At 42.1% G+C, this 18,951-nt stretch overlaps 4 annotated features.

Annotated features, from left to right (window-relative positions):
• Positions 4,455 to 4,634: an enhancer, noted in NCBI's record as "active region_3127". NCBI's record gives its function as "activates an Ori minimal core promoter by ATAC-STARR-seq in GM12878 lymphoblastoid cells {active_cell/tissue: GM12878}" and the evidence as "EXISTENCE:reporter gene assay evidence [ECO:0000049][PMID:35858748]".
• Positions 4,925 to 4,974: a silencer, noted in NCBI's record as "silent region_2200". NCBI's record gives its function as "represses an Ori minimal core promoter by ATAC-STARR-seq in GM12878 lymphoblastoid cells {active_cell/tissue: GM12878}" and the evidence as "EXISTENCE:reporter gene assay evidence [ECO:0000049][PMID:35858748]".
• Positions 9,249 to 9,860: an enhancer, noted in NCBI's record as "H3K27ac-H3K4me1 hESC enhancer chr10:22417997-22418608 (GRCh37/hg19 assembly coordinates)". NCBI's record gives its function as "activates a minimal SCP1, AML or CMV promoter by ChIP-STARR-seq in naive H9 embryonic stem cells {active_cell/tissue: H9 hESC(naive)}" and the evidence as "EXISTENCE:reporter gene assay evidence [ECO:0000049][PMID:30033119]".
• Positions 17,501 to 17,701: a silencer, noted in NCBI's record as "peak904 fragment used in MPRA reporter construct". NCBI's record gives its function as "represses an SCP1 promoter by STARR-seq MPRAs in K562 erythroleukemia cells {active_cell/tissue: K562}" and the evidence as "EXISTENCE:reporter gene assay evidence [ECO:0000049][PMID:32103011]".

Genomic DNA, 18,951 nt, shown 5'->3' with positions numbered 1-18,951 from the left:
TCCCCTTGTAAGACAGAAAAGTTCTCCAAGTCTCCACTCGACCCCGGAAGTCCAGCTGACTTCATGTCTCAGTGGGTGGCTCACGCATGTAATCCCAGCACTTCGGGGGGGCCCAAGGTGGGTGGGTCACTTGAGCTCAGGAGTTTGAGACCAGCCTGGGCAACATGGTGAAACCCTGTCTCTGTAAAAAAGTTATCCAGGCATGGTAGTGCACACCTGTGGTCCTAGCTACTCAGGAGGCTGAGGTGGGAGAATCGCTTGAGCCCAGGAGATTGAGGCTGCAGTGAGCTGAGATCACACCACTGCATTCCAGCCTGGGTGAAAAAGTGATATCCTGTCTCAAGAAAAAAAAAAAAGAAAGAAATGGTAAGTGTTTGCAGTGATGAGTATGCTAATTACCATGATCTGATATACATTGTTTGTACCCCAACATCACTATGTACTGTGTAAACATGCACACTATTATGTGTCAACTAAAAAAAAAGTTTAGTCTTTTAGTATAACAAAGTAAACTGCTAAAAGCTACCTCAAAAAAAGAAAAAAAATAAGGCTGGGCATGGTGGCTTACGCCTGTGATCCCAGCACTTTGGGAGGCTGAGGTGGGTGGAGCATTTGAGGTCAGGAGTTCAATACCAGCCTGGCCAACGTGGTGAAACCCCATCTCTACTAAAACGACAGAAATTAGCTGGGCATGATGGTGCACGCCTGTAATCCCAGCTACTCAGGAGACTGAGGCGGGAGAATCGCTTGAGCCCGGGAGGCGGAGGTCGTAGTGAACTGAGATGGCGCCACCGCACTGCAGCCTGGGAAAGACAGTGAGACACCCTGTCTCAAAAAGAAGAAAAAAAAGAAAGAAAGAAAAAAAGAAACAGGAAGAAAAAAGGTCACACTTCATTTCTGAGAGGCAAAACAATTCCAAACACTTAAAATTTTAAAAACATAAATAGCATATTTAAATTTAATCAAGAGTATGTGAATCAACTTTTCCTTCTAGTTTTTATTATTGTAATTTTTAAACATTCCAGATGGAGAGTTTCATATGTAGAAAATCTAGAAAACTGAAAGGAAAGGCAAGTCAGTGCTGAAGGGGCCCCACCTGACAGCAGCAGTTTCAGCAGGCAGATGAGATGTCCGCACCCAGGGCAATAGGGCCCGCCTGAGGGGACAGCACTGGCCAATAGTCACTGCCCAGCAGAAGGCTGGAGTAGGAGACAAAAAGAGCATGACAGGAGTGAGATCATTAGCTGGACATGGGTATAAGCTCTCCTAGGAGCTCACAGGAATCTTCTGGAGACTTTGCTAGGGTATGAAGTTGTTACCCTAATTAATTTCCCACTCAAAGAATTATTTTGAAAAGCAGAGTAAAACACCACTGAAAATAAAGGTCATATTTAGAGAAGCTTGAGTTTGAACATCAGACAAAGCAAGTGCTTGTTCATCTCTACAGAGAACCAAAGGATATAATTCACACTGGTAGCATCTGTGCCTGCCTGGTTACAACAGACCTCCTTTACACTTAAAAAAAAAATAGGCATGTGACACGTTCCGTGCAGAACCAGTTTATGAGTCTACAGGCAGGTGGAGAACCCTAATTAAACCTTTCTCAGACCCTGCCTCCTCCACTTGCTAGGTGTATGAGCACCGCAGCTTCTTAACCCTCTTGGAACCATAAAACGCTTAGGACACGGCTTCAAACAATCTTTATTATAATTAAAATTAGCTATTGAGAAAAGAGACAACAGCTTGCAGAGAGTTGGCCTAAAAGTAAAAGTGACAAAATACCTAAATATATATTGTCTATGTTATTTATAAGTTAGGACATTTAAAACTACTAAAGCTATACTGGTGAGAGAGTCAGGGGAAATGAAATGATACAGTTTGAGCATCAAGAACCTATCTCTTGGCCGGGTGCGGTGGCTTATGCCTGTAATCCCAACACTTTGGGAGGCTGAGGTAGGAGGATTGCTTGAGGCCGGGAGTTAGAAGCCAGCCTGGGGCAATAGAGCAAGAATCCATCTCTGTTTTAAAAATAAAAATAAACAAGAACCCATCTCTTAAACACCCCAGCAAATCTTAGCTCACCATTTTGGGAGGTAGGAGGAGTAACTGTGAACATTGGTGCTTAGTTTTGTATTGTTTCATTTTAATGACGTTGTTTTTGATTTGGGCTGTTATCAAAAAGAATTGAGGTGATCATCTGCCTTTTAAGACAGAAGCACAATGCTGGTGAAGAAGAGAATTTGTGGGTGAATGCAGGGCCTTGAGATCCAGCTAGTGTTTATGCCAAGACACACTTCCCAGGGATATACCAGCTTTGGAGCCCTGCCTTATAAATAATGTTCTTTTACTTCCCTGGCCTGTGACCCTGGACATTCTTGGAAAGTATTGAAATGATACTGGAAAGCTCAAATGATTGAGGGGGATGCTGGAGCTCTAGCTTTGGGGAATGAGCAGGAGCCAGGGATGATAGGAAGCAGCAGGGACCAACCCAAATACTGCAAAGAACCAGGCTGTGGGGCCAATGGGCATCCTCCCCATGTCCCCTGTGAGCCCTTCAGTGCCCCACGGCCAACACAGCTAGGCCCATGCTGTCCCCTCGTGCTGGCCGGGCTGTCTTGGCCTTATGTCCCTAGCACTTGATTCATGCATGGGTGACTCAGTCAGGTAAGCTTAGACCACATTCCTTCCCCCAGCTGCTTAGGAGGCTGAGAACATGAGGATTGGAAATTTCGGCAGCATTTCCCACTATGACTCTCACAAGATTGAGAATTCCCCAAACGGAGGAGTTCTACAAAACCCCAATATGACCCTTAAAAAGGTCCCTTAAGTGTCCCTTAAGGTCCATGTTTAAGATGCAGAATACAATTAATTGCTGCTGCAGCTCAAAATACAGCAAAAGTTTGTACCAAAGTGTGTTCAAACTCCATGGTGCCACTGCACTCCAGCCTGGGTGACAGAGCGAGACCCTCCCTCAAAAATAATTGAATGAATGAATGAATAAAAATTAGAAAATAAAGAAAAGCCCTAACCGATCGTTAGAAATGCGGGACCTTCTCATTTGCTCTGTACTAACAAGGAAGTCACTCTGGCCCTCATGCCGCCAAGTGAAACTTGAAGAGCTTTTCTGCCCCTCCCTTCTGTGAGCATGGACAAATGAGCACACTTGGCTGCTGACCCAGCATGTGAGGGAGCACGGGTCCACAGAGCCTGAGAATCAGCCTCTGAACAAGTTCCACTCTGACCCCAGTGGCTGATCTCGACAACCTTGAATATGATGGGATCAAGGGAGAGTGAATGTGGAGGAAACGTGCTTGAAATGATGCCTGGCGTGTGTGAAGGAGAAACTACATTGATAGACCAAACTAAAAAACCAAAGATGTTTCTTTCCATCTTCATGTTTTGTAAAACAGACGTATAAATGCTGACATTATTTGACAGAGACAGAAATTCTCTTTTTCTTTTTTTTTTTTGAGATGGGGTCTTGCTTTGTTGCCCAGGCTGGAGTGTAGCAGTGTGATCATGGCTCACTGCAGCCTTGACCTCTCTGCAGCCTTGACCTCTCAGAATCAACCCATCCTCCTACCTCAGCCTCCAGAGTAGCTGGGACTGCAGGCATGAGCCACCGTGCATGGCTAATTTTTTCTTTCTTTTTTTTGTACAAAAAGGGTCTCACTGTGTTGCCCAAGCTGGTCTCGAACTCTTGGGCTCAAGCCATCCTCCTGCCTCAGCCTCCCAAAGTGCTGGGATTATAAGCATGAGCCACCACGCCTGGCAGGGAAATTCTTTAGCAGGACTACCTGCTAAGCGTTGTCTCTGTGTAAACCAACCCCTATACAATGCAGAACATGAGACACTCGAAATAGATCTGGATTGGGGCTACACTGCATCTGTGCATATCTTGTGAAGATATGAATGGGAGAAGAAAAAGGAAAGTAAAGGAAGGAAAAAGTATGACTCCAGAATACAACAAATCGTTTAAGCTGTCCAGCATTTGTTACTGTGGGCAATATTCAGCCAAGGATATTGGTCATAAAGTGTTTTTTTCTTTGTTTGTTTTGTTTGAGGCAGGGTCTCGTTCTGTGGCCCAGGCTGGAGTGCAGTGGTGCAATTATGGCTCACTGCAGCCTCTACCTCCTAGGCTTAAGACATCCTCCCACCTCAGCCTCCCAAGTAGCTGAGACTACAGGTATGCACAACTACACCTGGCCAATTTTTTGTAATTTTCTGTGGAGATGGGTTCTCCCTATGTTGACCAGGCTGGTCTTGAACTCCTGGGTTCGAGCACTCCTTCTGCCTCAGCCTCTCAAAATGCTGAGATTACAGTTGTGAAGAGTGTTTTTTCCCCCCCAATGAAAGTGTGTATCAGGCAACTTTCTCATGGTTTGTGGATTGCAGCTGGAGCACTCTGTCTCCACTGGGTGGTCAGCCGCCTATCTTAAAGTTTCCCTTGTCACTTCCTTTCTTACAAAATCTAAGTCACAGACAGGCCTCCAGACTTCAAGGTGTCTTCCTTTTGCAGTTGCTGACAGCTGACTCATGCTCATGTTCACTTAACGTCTGTTCTCCTTGTTTACTGACATGTTGGAGATGTGCCTTACGGATGGCAGGTTGTTTTACCGTTGGCTTCCAACATGTCGTGTCAATCAGTGTGCACTTCAAATACACTGAACAGCAGTGGATCTAGGTAGGAAAGGGTTAACTCTTGGGCTGAGAAAGCTTTATAGCATTTTGGGCGGTCAGGCTAGAGGGCAGATGTTGACCTTCACAAAACCTGTGCTTTCAAAAAGAGGAAGTATTTTTTCAGAACCTAGTAGTAGGGAGATAAAACCAGAATAATTCAGTTTAGCTACTTAGGCCTGGGGTTCCTCAACAGATGTGATAACAGAATGTAAATATTGAGATCCAGCTGTCAGCCTATTGGCCTTATGCACTGAGGTTAGGAGAACTTGGCTTCTCTTGCTGAGAGCCGGCTATGAGCAAGCAGGAAATTCTGAAGAGAAGATATATATTTATAGGGTTTTTTTTCCTTCTAAGTTTGATGCTTTAAAAAAAAAAAAAAAGACGGAGGAAGTGCAGGGTTTCCTCCCCGTTGAGTCTTGTGTGCGCCACCCTAGTTTTCCCATCTGTCCCCGTTCCAAGGAAGTCAGCAGTCAGCTGTTTGTGAGCATTTTTCTAATAGGCAAAATTAAACTTTGATGAGGAATGCCTACTCTGACTTAGCTAGAAAGCACAGAACTTGACCTTGGCCTTGAAAGCTGCAGGCTGACCCCTGGCCCATCCCCTCATGGCAGCCTGTATTTAAAGCCCTCCAACGGGGTCCCACCACTTCATGAGGTCTTTTCATTTGATTTACATTCTGACAACATAAATTTTTTTTTAAAATGTGTATAATGGTGAGGGGTATCACTTAATAAAACAGAAGAGAAGGAGGAATGATGGAGGCTGCCTTAGAGAGGTAGATCAGGGAGCGCCGGGTGAGCAGGTGATTATTTTCACTAAAATGGAAAGAACCAGACGGCCTTGTGAAGATTTAGGCCAGAAAAATAGCAGAGGGCCCCAAAGCAGGTATTTGAAGAACACTGGAGCCAGAGGGAAAAGAGAAGTCCTGGGGACTGAGATGCATTAGTGGCACTGGGCATTGTGGAGACTTGAAGACTGCAGTGAGGACTGTAGATTTTATTTCCTAAGTGATGATAGAGATTCAAGCAGGAGAGTTATGTAATTTTGGTGTGCAGTTTTTAAAAACCTCCCTGACTGCTATGGAAAGAATGGATTGTGGGGGGTGGCAGGGAGGAAGTGGAATAGTGATCACAGTGACAAGACTTTTACAGCAGTCCAGGAAAGAGACGCTGTCAGCCTAGGCTTGGGAGGCATTAGCAGTATGGACGGATCTGGGATGTGTTTTGGAGGTAGAAGTGACAGACCTTGCTGCTGGACTGCATGTTGGAGGTAAGGGAAAGGGAGGACTAAGGATAGGTTTTTGGCTCAAGTAACTGCGGAAACAGCAGTGCCATCTCTTACGGCCAGGAAGACGGGAGAAAGCGCAGATTCGTAGACGAGGGGACACAAATCCTTCAGATTTGGCCAACCAAGCTCTGAGATGCCCATCAGAAACTGAGGAGGAGGCGTTAAGTAGCCAGTTGTATGTGCTACATCAGAGTTTATGCCAGGAACTGCAGGTCAGGTGGGACTACAGTGTAAACTTTAAAATGAAAAAAAAAATGCTAAAAGAAAACGGTTATTATAATCACAGAATATTATAAAAAGGTTTTTATAACTTCAAATCACAAATAAAAGGACTGATGGATTTGACTAATTAAAAAAGTTTTAAACTTCTATGCTATTAAATAAGTATAAGAGCAGAGATAAAATATTTGCAAATTAGATAAAGAGGTTTATTACATTGAAAAACATCTAAAAAGTCAAAAACTTTAAATGTATACCCAATAGAAAAATAAGCCAAGAATTGTGAGCCATAAATTCAAAATAGAATATGGTTGCTAAGTATGTGAAAAGATCTTCAATCATTTTCTTTCAGCTTTTGATTGGGTTCATCATATTCAATTCAATCATTTTTAATAACTGTTATTTGAGATAGAATTCATATATGATCAAACTCACCTGATATTCATTCTTACTAGTAATCAAAGAGGTGCAAACTAAAATGAGATTCTTTGATCAGATTGGCAAAGATTAAAAGAATTGAAATACCCAAAGTTGGTGAAGGTGTATATAAACAGTACAAGTTGTTTCTTGCTTTTTGGAGTAGGATTGCCAGAGTTAGCAAATAAAAATACAGACATGCAGCCAAGTTTGAATCTCAGATAAACAACAAATACTTTCCAAACTATAATTATGTCCCAAGTATTATATTGGACATATTTATACTAAAATTTTAATTGCTATTTATTATTTATTATTTAGCTGGATGTAAAGTGAAAGTTTATCCAGTAACCCTGTTTTCAGAGGGCATTTGACTGTCACACTTTTATATGGCAATTTCATTTCCAGAGATTTATCTTAAAGAGCTAAAAAGGAAATAGGCAAATGACTTTTATAAAACTACATATAGAAAGATGTTTATCAGAATATTACTTATATTATTCTCCAGTTGAATATTACTCAATGTGATATCCACTATCAATATAATATATGCTATGTTAATTTCCATTAATATGAGATTCACTAAATAACTATGGCACATCCAATCAATGAAGTACTATGCAGCCATTAAATATGGCGAGATTGGTCTATAACTTATTGACATGAAAAAAATACATAATATAATGTTAAGTGGGAAAAAAGTATATCCTAAAAAGAATATATAATGCAATTCAGTTTATAGAAATTATATATAAGTATATATACAGAGTTTTTAAAAATGTATACCAAAATATTAAGAATATTTATTCTGGGGCCATGGGATTTAAGATTACTTATGCTTAAAAAAATTCTGGGGGGCGGTTCCAAGATGGCCAAATAGGAACAGCTCCAGTCTACAGCTCCCAGCGTGAGCGACACAGAAGATGGGTGATTTCTGCATTTTCAACTGAGGTACCGGGTTCATCTCACTGGGGCTTGTCAGACAGTGGGTGCAGGACAGTGGGTACAGCCCACCGAGCATCAGCCGAAGCAGGGATAGGCATCACCTCACCCAGGAAGCACAAGGGGTCAGGGAATTCCCTTTCCTAGCCAAGGGAAACTGTGACAGACAGCACCGGGAAAACCAGGTCACTCCCACCCTAATACTGGGCTTTTCCAACGGTCTTAGCAAATGGCAAACCAAGAGATTATATCCCACACATGGCTCTGAGGGTCCCACACCAACGGAGCCTTGCTCATTGCTAGCACAGCAGTCTGATATCGAACTGCAAGGCAGCAGTGAGGCTGGGGGAGGGGCGCCCGCCATTGCTGAGGCTTGAGTAGGTAAACAAAGTGGCCTGGAAGCTTGAACTGGGTGGAGCCCACCACAGCTCAAGGAGGCCTGCCTGCCTCTGTAGACTCCACCTCTGGGGGCAGGGCATAGCTGAACAAAAGGCACCAGAAACCTCTGCAGACTTAAATGTCCCTGTGTGACAGCTTTGGAGAGAGTAGTGGTTCTCCCAGCATGGAGTTTGAGATCTGAGAACGGACAGACTGCCTCTTCAAGTGTGTCCTTGACCGCCGAGTAGCCTAACTGGGAGGCACCCCCCAGTAGGGGCAGACTGACACCTTACACGGCCGGGTACCCCTCTGAGACGAAGCTTCCAGAGGAACAATCAGGCAGCAACATTTGCTGTTCAGCAATATTCGCTGTTCTGCAGCCTCCGCTGCTGATACGCAGGCAAGCAGGGTCTGGAGTGGACCTCCAGTAAACTCCAACAGACCTGCAGCTGAGGGTCCTGACTGTTAGAAGGAAAACTAACAAACAGAAAGGACATCCACACCAAAACCCCGTCTGTATATCACCATCATCAAAGACCAAAGGTAGATAAAACCACAAAGATGGGGAAAAACAGAGCAGAAAAGCTGAAAATTCTAAAAATCAGAGTACCTCTCCCCCTCCACAGGAATGCAGCTCCTCACCAGCAATGGAACAAACCTGGACGGAGAATGACTTTGATGAGTTGAGAGAAGAAGGCTTCAGATGATCAAACTTCTCCGAGCTAAAGCAGGAAGTTCGAACCCATTGCAAAGAAGCTAAAAACCTTGAAAAAAGATTAGACAAAAGGCTAACTAGAATAACCAGTGTAGAGAAGTCCTTAAATGACCTGATGGAGCTGAAAACTATGGCATGAGAACTACGTGACAAATGCACAAGCTTCAGTAGCCAATTTGATCAACTGGAAGAAAGGGTAAGTGATGGAAGATCAAATGAATGAAATGAAGCAAGAAGAGAAGTTTAGAGAAAAAAGAGTAAAAAGAAACGAGCAAAGCCTCCAAGAAATACTGGACTATGTGAAAAGACCAAATCTATGTCTGATTGGTGTACTTGAAAGTGATGGGGAGGGGGGAGGAGCCAAGATGGCTGAATAGGAACAGCTCCCGTCTACAGCTCCCAGCGTGAGCGACGCAGAAGACGGGTGATTTCTGCATTTCCATCTGAGGTACCGGGTTTATCTCACTAGGGAGTGCCAGACAGTGGGCGCAGGCCAGTGGGGGCGCGCACCGTGCGCGAGCCAAAGCAGGGCAAGGCATTGCCTCACTTGGGAAGCGCGAGGGGTCAGGGAGTTCCCTTTCAGGGAGTCAAAGAAAGGGGTGACGGACGCACCTGGAAAGTCGGGTCACTCCCACCCGAATATTGCGCTTTTCAGACCGGCTTAAAAGCGGCGAACCATGAGATTATATCCCACACATGGCTCGGAGGGTCCTACGCCCACGGAATCTCACTGACTGCTAGCACAGCAGTCTGAGATCAAACTGGAAGGCGGCAGCGAGGCTGGGGGAGGGGCGCCCGCCATTGCCCAGGCTTGCTTAGGTAAACAAAGCAGCCAGGAAGCTTGAACTGGGTGGAGCCCACCACAGCTCAAGGAGGCCTGCCTGCCTCTGTAGGCTCCACCTCTGGGGGCAGGGCACAGACAAACAAAAAGACAGCAGTAACCTCTGCAGACTTAAGTGTCCCTGTCTGACAGCTTTGAAGAGAGCAGTGGTTCTCCCAGCACGCAGCTGGAGATCTGAGAACCGGCAGACTGCCTCCTCAAGTGGGTCCCTGACCCCTGACCCCCGAGCAGCCTAACTGGGAGGCACCCCCAAGCAGGGGCACACTGACACCTCACACGGCAGGGTATTCCAACAGACCTGCAGCTGAGGGTCCTGTCTGTTAGAAGGAAAACTAACAAACAGAAAGGACATCCACACCGAAAACCCATCATCATCATCAACATCATCAAAGACCAAAAGTAGATAAAACCACAAAGATGGGGAAAAAACAGAACAGAAAAACTGGAAACTCTAAAAAGCAGAGCGCCTCTCCTCCAAAGGAATGCAGTTCCTCACCAGCAACGGAACAAAGCTGGATGGAGAATGACTTTGACGAGCTGAGAGAAGAAGGCTTCAGGCGATCAAATTACTCTGAGCTACGGGAGGACATTCAAACCAAAGGCAAAGAAGTTGAAAACTTTGAAAAAAATTTAGAAGAATGTATAACTAAAATAACCAATACAGAGAAGTGCTTAAAGGAGCTGATGGAGCTGAAAACCAAGGCTCGAGAACTACGTGAAGAATGCAGAAGCCTCAGGAGCCGATGCGATCAACTGGAAGAAAGGCTATCAGCAATGGAAGATGAAATGAATGAAATGAAGCGAGAAAGGAAGTTTAGAGAAAAAAGAATAAAAAGAAATGAGCAAAGCCTCCAAGAAATATGGGACTATGTGAAAAGACCACATCTACGTCTGATTGGTGTACCTGAAAGTGATGGGGAGAATGGAACCAAGTTGGAAAACACTCTGCAGGATATTATCCAGGAGAACTTCCCCAATCTAGCAAGGCAGGCCAACGTTCAGATTCAGGAAATACAGAGAACGCCACAAAGGTAATCCTCAAGAAGAGCAACTCCAAGACACATAATTGTCAGATTCACCAAAGTTGAAATGAAGGAAAAAATGTTAAGGGCAGCCAGAGAGAAAGGTCGGGTTACCCTCAAAGGGAAGCCCATCAGACTAACAGCGGATCTCTCGGCAGAAACCCTACAAGCCAGAAGAGAGTGGGGGCCAATATTCAACATTCTTAAAGAAAAGAATTTTCAACCCAGAATTTCATATCCAGCCAAACTAAGCTTCATAAGTGAAGGAGAAATAAAATACTTCACAGACAAGCAAATACTGAGAGTTTTTGTCACCACCAGGCCTGCCCTAAAAGAGCTCCTGAAGGAAGCGCTAAACATGGAAAGGAACAACCAGTACCAGCTGCTGCAAAATCATGCCAAAATGTAAAGACCATCGAGACTAGGAAGAAACTGCATCAACTAACGAGCAAAATCACCAGCTAACATCATAATGACAGGATCAAATTCACACATAACAATATTAACTTTAAATGTAAATGGACTAAATGCTCCAATTAAAAGACACAGACTGGCAAATTGGATAAAGAGTCAAGACCCATCAGTGTGCTGTATTCAGGAAACCCATCTCATGTGCAGAGACACACATAGGCTCAAAATAAAAGGATGGAGGAAGATCTACCAAGCAAATGGAAAACAAAAAAAGGCAGGGGTTGCAATCCTAGTCTCTGATAAAACAGACTTTAAACCAACAAAGATTAAAAGAGACCAAGAAGGCCATTACATAATGGTAAAGGGGTCAATTCAACAAGAAGAGCTAACTATCCTAAATATATATGCACCCAATACAGGAGCACCCAGATTCATAAAGCAAGTCCTGAGTGACCTACAAAGAGACTTAGACTCCCACACATTAATAATGGGAGACTTTAACACCCCACTGTCAACATTAGACAGATCAACGAGACAGAAAGTCAACAAGGATACCCAGGAATTGAACTCAGCTCTGCACCAAACGGACCTAATAGACATCTACAGAACTCTCCACCCCAAATCAACAGAATATACATTTTTATCAGCACCACACCACACCTATTCCAAAATTGATCACATACTTGGAAGTAAAGCTCTCCTCAGCAAATGTAAAAGAACAGAAGTTATAACAAACTATCTCTCAGACCACAGTGCAATCAAACTAGAACTCAGGATTAAGAATCTCACTCAAAGCCACTCAACTACATGGAAACTGAACAACCTGCTCCTGAAATGACTACTGGGTACATAACGAAATGAAGGCAGAAATAAAGATGTTCTTTGAAACCAACGAGAACAAAGACACAACATACCAGAATCTCTGGGACGCATTCAAAGCAGTGTGTAGAGGGAAATTTATAGCACTAAATGCCCACAAGAGAAAGCAGGAAAGATCCAAAATTGACACCCTAACATCACAATTAAAAGAACTAGAAAAGCAAGAGCAAACACATTCAAAAGCTAGCAGAAGGCAAGAAATAACTAAAATCAGAGCAGAACTGAAGGAAATAGAGACACAAAAAACCCTTCAAAAAATCAATGAATCCAGGAGCTGGTTTTTTGAAAGGATCAACAAAATTGATAGACCGCTAGCAAGACTAATAAAGAAAAAAAGAGAGAAGAATCAAATAGACACAATAAAAAATGATAAAGGGGATATCACCACCGATCCCACAGAAATACAAGCTACCATCAGAGAATACTACAAACACCTCTACGCAAATAAACTAGAAAATCTAGAAGAAATGGATAAATTCCTCAACACATACACTCTCCCAAGACTAAACCAGGAAGAAGTTGAATCTCTGAATAGACCAATAACAGGAGCTGAAATTGTGTCAATAATCGATAGTTTACCAACCAAAAAGAGTCCAGGACCAGATGGATTCACAGCTGAATTCTACCAGAGGTACAAGGAGGAACTGGTACCATTCCTTCTGAAACTATTCCAATCAATAGAAAAAGAGGGAATCCTCCCTAACTCATTTTATGAGGCCAGCATCATTCTGATACCAAAGCCGGGCAGAGACACAACCAAAAAAGAGAATTTTAGACCAATATCCTTGATGAACATTGATGCAAAAATCCTCAATAAAATACTGGCAAAATGAATCCAGAAGCACATCAAAAAGCTTATCCACCATGATCAAGTGGGCTTCATCCCTGGGATGCAAGGCTGGTTCAATATACGCAAATCAATAAATGTAATCCAGCATATAAACAGAGCCAAAGACAAAAACCACATGATTATCTCAACGGATGCAGAAAAAGCCTTTGACAAAATTCAACAACCCTTCATGCTAAAAACTCTCAATAAATTAGGTATTGATGGGACGTATTTCAAAATAATAAGAGCTATCTATGACAAACCCACAGCCAATATCATACTGAATGGGCAAAAACTGGAAGCATTCCCTTTGAAAACTGGCACAAGACAGGGATGCCCTCCCTCACCACTCCTATTCAACATAGTGTTGGAAGTTCTGGCCAGGGCATTTAGGCAGGAGAAGGAAATAAAGGGTATTCAATTAGGAAAAGAGGAAGTCAAATTGTCCCTGTTTGCAGACGACATGATTGTATATCTAGAAAACCCCATTGTCTCAGCCCAAAATCTCCTTAAGCTGATAAGCAACTTCAGCAAAGTCTCAGGATACAAAATCAATGTACAAAAATCACAAGCATTCTTATACACCAACAACAGACAAACAGAGAGCCAAATCGTGAGTGAACTCCCATTCACAATTGCTTCAAAGAGAATAAAATACCTAGGAATCCAACTTACAAGGGATGTGAAGGACCTCTTCAAGGAGAACTACAAACCACTGCTCAATGAAATAAAAGAGGATACAAACAAATGGAAGAACATTCCATGCTCATGGGTAGGAAGAATCAATATCGTGAAAATGGCCATACTGCCCAAGGTAATTTACAGATTCAATGCCATCCCCATCAAGCTACCAATGACTTTCTTCACAGAATTGGAAAAAACTACTTTAAAGTTCATATGGAACCAAAAAAGAGCCCGCATCGCCAAGTCAATCCTAAGCCAAAAGAACAAAGCTGGAGGCATCACGCTACCTGACTTCAAACTATACTACAAGGCTACAGTAACCGAAACAGCATGGTACTGGTACCAAAACAGAGATATAGATCAATGGAACAGAGCAGAGCCCTCAGAAATAATGCCGCATATCTACAACTATCTGATCTTTGACAAACCTGAGAAAAACAAGCAATGGGGAAAGGATTCCCTATTTAATAAATGGTGCTGGGAAAACTGGCTAGCCACTTGTAGAAAGCTGAAACTGGATCCCTTCCTTACACCTTATACAAAAATCAGTTCAAGATGGATTAAAGATTTAAACGTTAGACCTAAAACCATAAAAACCCTAGAAGAAAACCTAGGCATTACCATTCAGGACATAGGCATGGGCAAGGACTTCATGTCCAAAACACCAAAAGCAATGGCAACAAAAGCCAAAATTGACAAATGGGATCTAATTAAACTAAAGAGCTTCTGCACAGCAAAAGAAATTACCATCAGAGTGAACAGGCAACCTACAAAATGGGAGAAAATTTTCGCAACCTACTCATCTGCCAAAGGGCTAATATCCAGAATCTACAATGAACTCAAACAAATTTACAAGAAAAAAACAAACAACCCCATCAAAAAGTGGGCGAAGGACATGAACAGACACTTCTCAAAAGAAGACATTTATGCAGCCAAAAAACACGTGAAAAAATGCTCACCATCACTGGCCATCAGAGAAATGCAAATCAAAACCACAATGAGATACCATCTCACACCAGTTAGAATGGCAATCATTAAAAAGTCAGGAAACAACAGGTGCTGGAGAGGATGTGGAGAAATAGGAACACTTTTACACTGTTGGTGGGACTGTAAACTAGTTCAACCATTGTGGAAGTCAGTGTGGCGATTCCTCAGGGATCTAGAACTAGAAATACCATTTGACCCAGCCATCCCATTACTGGGTATATACCCAAATGACTATAAATCATGCTGCTATAAAGACACATGCACACGTATGTTTATTGCAGCATTATTCACAATAGCAAAGACTTGGAACCAACCCAAATGTCCAACAATTATAGACTGGATTAAGAAAATGTGGCACATATACACCATGGAATACTATGCAGCCATAAAAAATGATGAGTTCGTGTCCTTTGTAGGGACATGGATGAAATTGGAAATCATCATTCTCAGTAAACTATCGCAAGAACAAAAAACCAAACACCGCATATTCTCACTCATAGGTGGGCTTTGAACAACGAGATCACATGGACACAGGAAGGGGAATATCACACTCTGGGGACTGTGGTGGGGTGGGGGGAGGGGGGATGGATAGCATTGGGAGATATACCTAATGCTAGATGACGAGTTAGTGGGTGCAGCGCACCAGCATGGCACATGTATACATATGTAACTAACCTGCACATTGTGCACATGTACCCTAAAACTTAAAGTATAATAAAAAAAAAAAGGAAAAAAAAAAAAAAAAAAGAAAGTGATGGGGAGAATGAAACCAATTCGGAAAACACTCTGCAGGATATTATCCAGGAGAACTTCCCCAATCTAGCAAGGCAGGTCAACATTCAAATTCAGGAAATACAGAGAACACCACAAAGATACTCCTCAAGAAGAGCAATCCCAAGACACATAATTTGTTAGATTGACCAATGTTGAAATGAATGAAAAAATGTTAAGGGCAGCCAGAGAGAAAGGTCAGGTAACCCACAAAGGGAAGCCCATCAGACTAACAGTGGATCTCTCGGCAGAAACCCTACAAGCCAGAAGAGAGTGGGGGCCAATATTCAACATTCTTAAAGAAAAGAATTTTCAACCCAGAATTTCATATCCAGCCAAACTAAGCTTCATAAGTGAAGGAGAAATAAAATCCTTTATAGACAAGCAAATGCTGAGAGATTTTTTGACCACCAGGCCTACCATACAAGAGCTCCTGAAGGAAGCACTAAATATGGAAAGGAACAACTGGTACCAGCCACTGCAAAAACATGCCAAATTGTAAAGACCATCGATGCTAGGAAGAAACTGCATCAAGTAACAAGCAAAATCACCAGCTAACATCATAATGACAGGATCAAATTCACACATAACAATACTAACCTTAAATGTAAATGGGCTAAATGTTCCCATTAAAACACACAGACTGACAAATTGGATAAGGAGTCAAGACCTATCAGTGTGCTGTATTCAGGAAACCCATCTCACGTGCAGAGATACACATAGACTCAAAATAAAGGGATGGAGGAAGATCTACCAAGCAAATGGAAAACAAAAAAAGGCAGGGATTGCAATCCTGGTCTCTGATAAAACAGACTTTAAACCAACAAAGATCAAAAGAGACAAAGAAGACCATTACGTAACGGTAAAGGGTCAATTCAACAAGAAAACTAACTATCCTAAATATATATGCACCCAATACAGGAGCACCCAGATTTATAAAGCAAGTCCTTAGAGACCTACAAAGAAACTCAGACTCCCACACAATAATAATGGGAGATTTAACACCCCACTGTCAACATTAGACAGATCAAAGAGACAGAAAGTTAACAAGGATATCCAGGAATTGAACTCAGCTCTGCACCAAGCGGACGTAATAGACATCTACAGAACTCTCCACCCCAAATCAACAGAATATACATTCTTCTCAGCACCACACCGCACTTATTCCAAAATTGACCAATAGTTGGAAGTAAAGCACTCCTCAGCAAATGTAAAAGAAATTATAACAAACTGTCTACACAATGTACCAGAATCTCTGGGACACATTTAAAGCAGCACGTAGAGTGAAATTTATAGCACTAAATGTCCACAAGAGAAAGCAGGAAAGATCTAAATTGACACCCTAACATCACAATTAAAAGAACTAGAGAAGCAATAGCAAACGCATTCAAAAGCTAGCAGAAGGCAAGAAATAACTAAGATCAGAGCAGAACTGAAGGAAATGGAGACATCAATAACCCTTCCAAAAAAATCAATGAATCCAGGAGCTGATTTTTGGAAAAGATCAACAAAACAGATACACCGCTAGCCAGACTAATAGAGAAGAAAACAGAGAAGAATCAAATAGATGCAATAAAAAATGATAAAGGGGATGTCACCACTGATCCCACAGAAATACAAACTACCATCAGAGAATACTATAAACACCTCTACGCAAATAAACTAGAAAATCTAGAAGAAATGGATAAATTCCTGGACACATACACCCTCCCTAGACTAAACCAGGAAGAAGTCAAATCCCTGAATAGACCAATAACAAGTTCTGAAATTGAGGCAGTAATTAATAGCCTACCAACAAAAAAAAGTCCAGGGCCAGATGGATTCACAGCCGAATTCTACCAGAGGTACAAAGAGGAGCTGGTACCATTCCTTCTGAAACTATTCCAAACAATAGAAAAAGAGGGAATCCTCCCTAACTCATTTTAAGAGGCCAGCATCATCCTGATACCAAAACCTGGCAGAGACACAACAAAAAAAGAAAATTTCAGGCCAATATCCCTGATGAACATCAATGCGAAAATCCTCAATAAAATACTGGAAAACCAAATCCAGCAGCACATCAAAAAGCTTATCCAGCCCGATAAAGTCAGCTTCATCCCTGGGATGCAAGGCTGGTTCAACGAACGCAAATCAGTAAACGTAATCCATCACATAAACAGAACCAATGACAAAAACCACATGATTATCTCAATAGATGCAGAAAAGGCATTCAACAAAATTCAACATCCCTTCATGCTAAAAACTCTCAATAAATTAGGTATTGATGGAACGTATCTCAAAATAATAAGAGCTATTTATGACAAACCCACAGCCCATATCATACTGAATGGGCAAAACTGGAAGCATTGCCTTTGAAAACCGGCACAAGACAAGGATGCCCTCTCTCACCACTCCTATTCAACATAGTATTGGAAGTCCTGGCCAGGGCAATCAGGCAGGAGAAGGAAATAAAGGGTATTCAGTGAGGGAAAGAGGAAGTCAAAATGTCTCTGTTTGCAGATGACGTGATGTATATTTAGAAAACCCCATCGTCTCAGCCCAAAATCTCCTTAAGCTGATAAGCAATTTCAGCAAAGTCTCAGGATACAAACTCAATGTGCAAAAACCACAAGCATTCCTATACATCAATAACAGACAAACAGAGAGTCAAATCATGAGCAAACTCCCATTCACAATTGCTACAAAGAGAATAAAACACCTAGGAATACCACTTACAAGGGATGTGAAGGACCTCTTCAAAGAGAACTACAAACTACTGCTCAAGGAAATAAAAGAGGACACAAACAAATGGAAGACCATTCCATGCTCATGGATAGGAAGAATCAATATTGTGAAAATGGTCATATTGCCCAAAGTAATTTATAGATTCAATGCTATCCCCATCAAGGTATTCACAGAATTGAAAAAACTACTTTAAATTTTATATGGAACCAAAAAAGAGGCTGCATAGCCAAGACAATCCTAAGCAAAAAGAACAAAGCTGGAAGCATCACGCTACCTAACTTTAAACTACACTACAAGGCTACAGTAACCAAAACAGCATGGTACTGGTACCAAAACAGATATATAGACCAATGGAACAGAACAGAGGCCTCAGAAATAACACCACACATCTACAACCATCTGATCTTTGACAAACCTGACACAAACAAGCAATGGTGAAGATTCCCTATTTAATAAACAGTGTTGGGAAAACCGGCTAGCCATATGCAGAAAGCTGAAACTGGATCCTTTCCTTACACTTTATACAAAAAGTAACTGAAGATGGATTAAAGACTTACACATAAGACCTAAAACCATAAGAACCCTAGAAGAAAAGCTAGGCAGTACCATTCAGGACATAGGCATGGGCAAGGAGTTCATGTCTAAAACACCAAAAGCAGTGTCAACAAAAGCCAAAATAGACAAATGGGATCTAATTAAACTAAGCCTCTGCACAGCAAAAGAAACTGTCATCAGAGTAAACAGGCAACCTACAGAATGGGAGAAAAATTTTGCAATCTATCCATCTGACAAAGGGCTAATGTCCAGAATCTACAAAGAGCTTAAACAAATGTACAAGAAAAAAACAACCCCATCAAAAACTGGGCAAAGGACGTGAACAGACACTTCTCAAAAGAAGACATTTATGCAGCCAACAAACATATGAAAAAATGCTCATCATCACTGGTCATTAGAGTAATGCAAATCTAAACCACAATGAGATACCATCTCATGCCAGTTAGAATGGTGATCATTAAAAAGTCAGGAAATAACATATTGGAGAGGATGTGGAGAAACTGGAATGCTTTTACACGGTTGGTGGGAGTGTAAATTAGTTCAACCATTGTGGAAGACAGTGTGGCAATTCCTCAAGGATCTAGAACTAGAAATACCATTTGACCCAGCA

The sequence above is a fragment of the Homo sapiens genome, chromosome 10, assembly GCF_000001405.40.
Source record: "Homo sapiens chromosome 10, GRCh38.p14 Primary Assembly".
Taxonomy (NCBI): Eukaryota; Metazoa; Chordata; class Mammalia; order Primates; family Hominidae; genus Homo; species Homo sapiens.
This window is presented reverse-complemented; position numbering and strand designations above follow the sequence as displayed.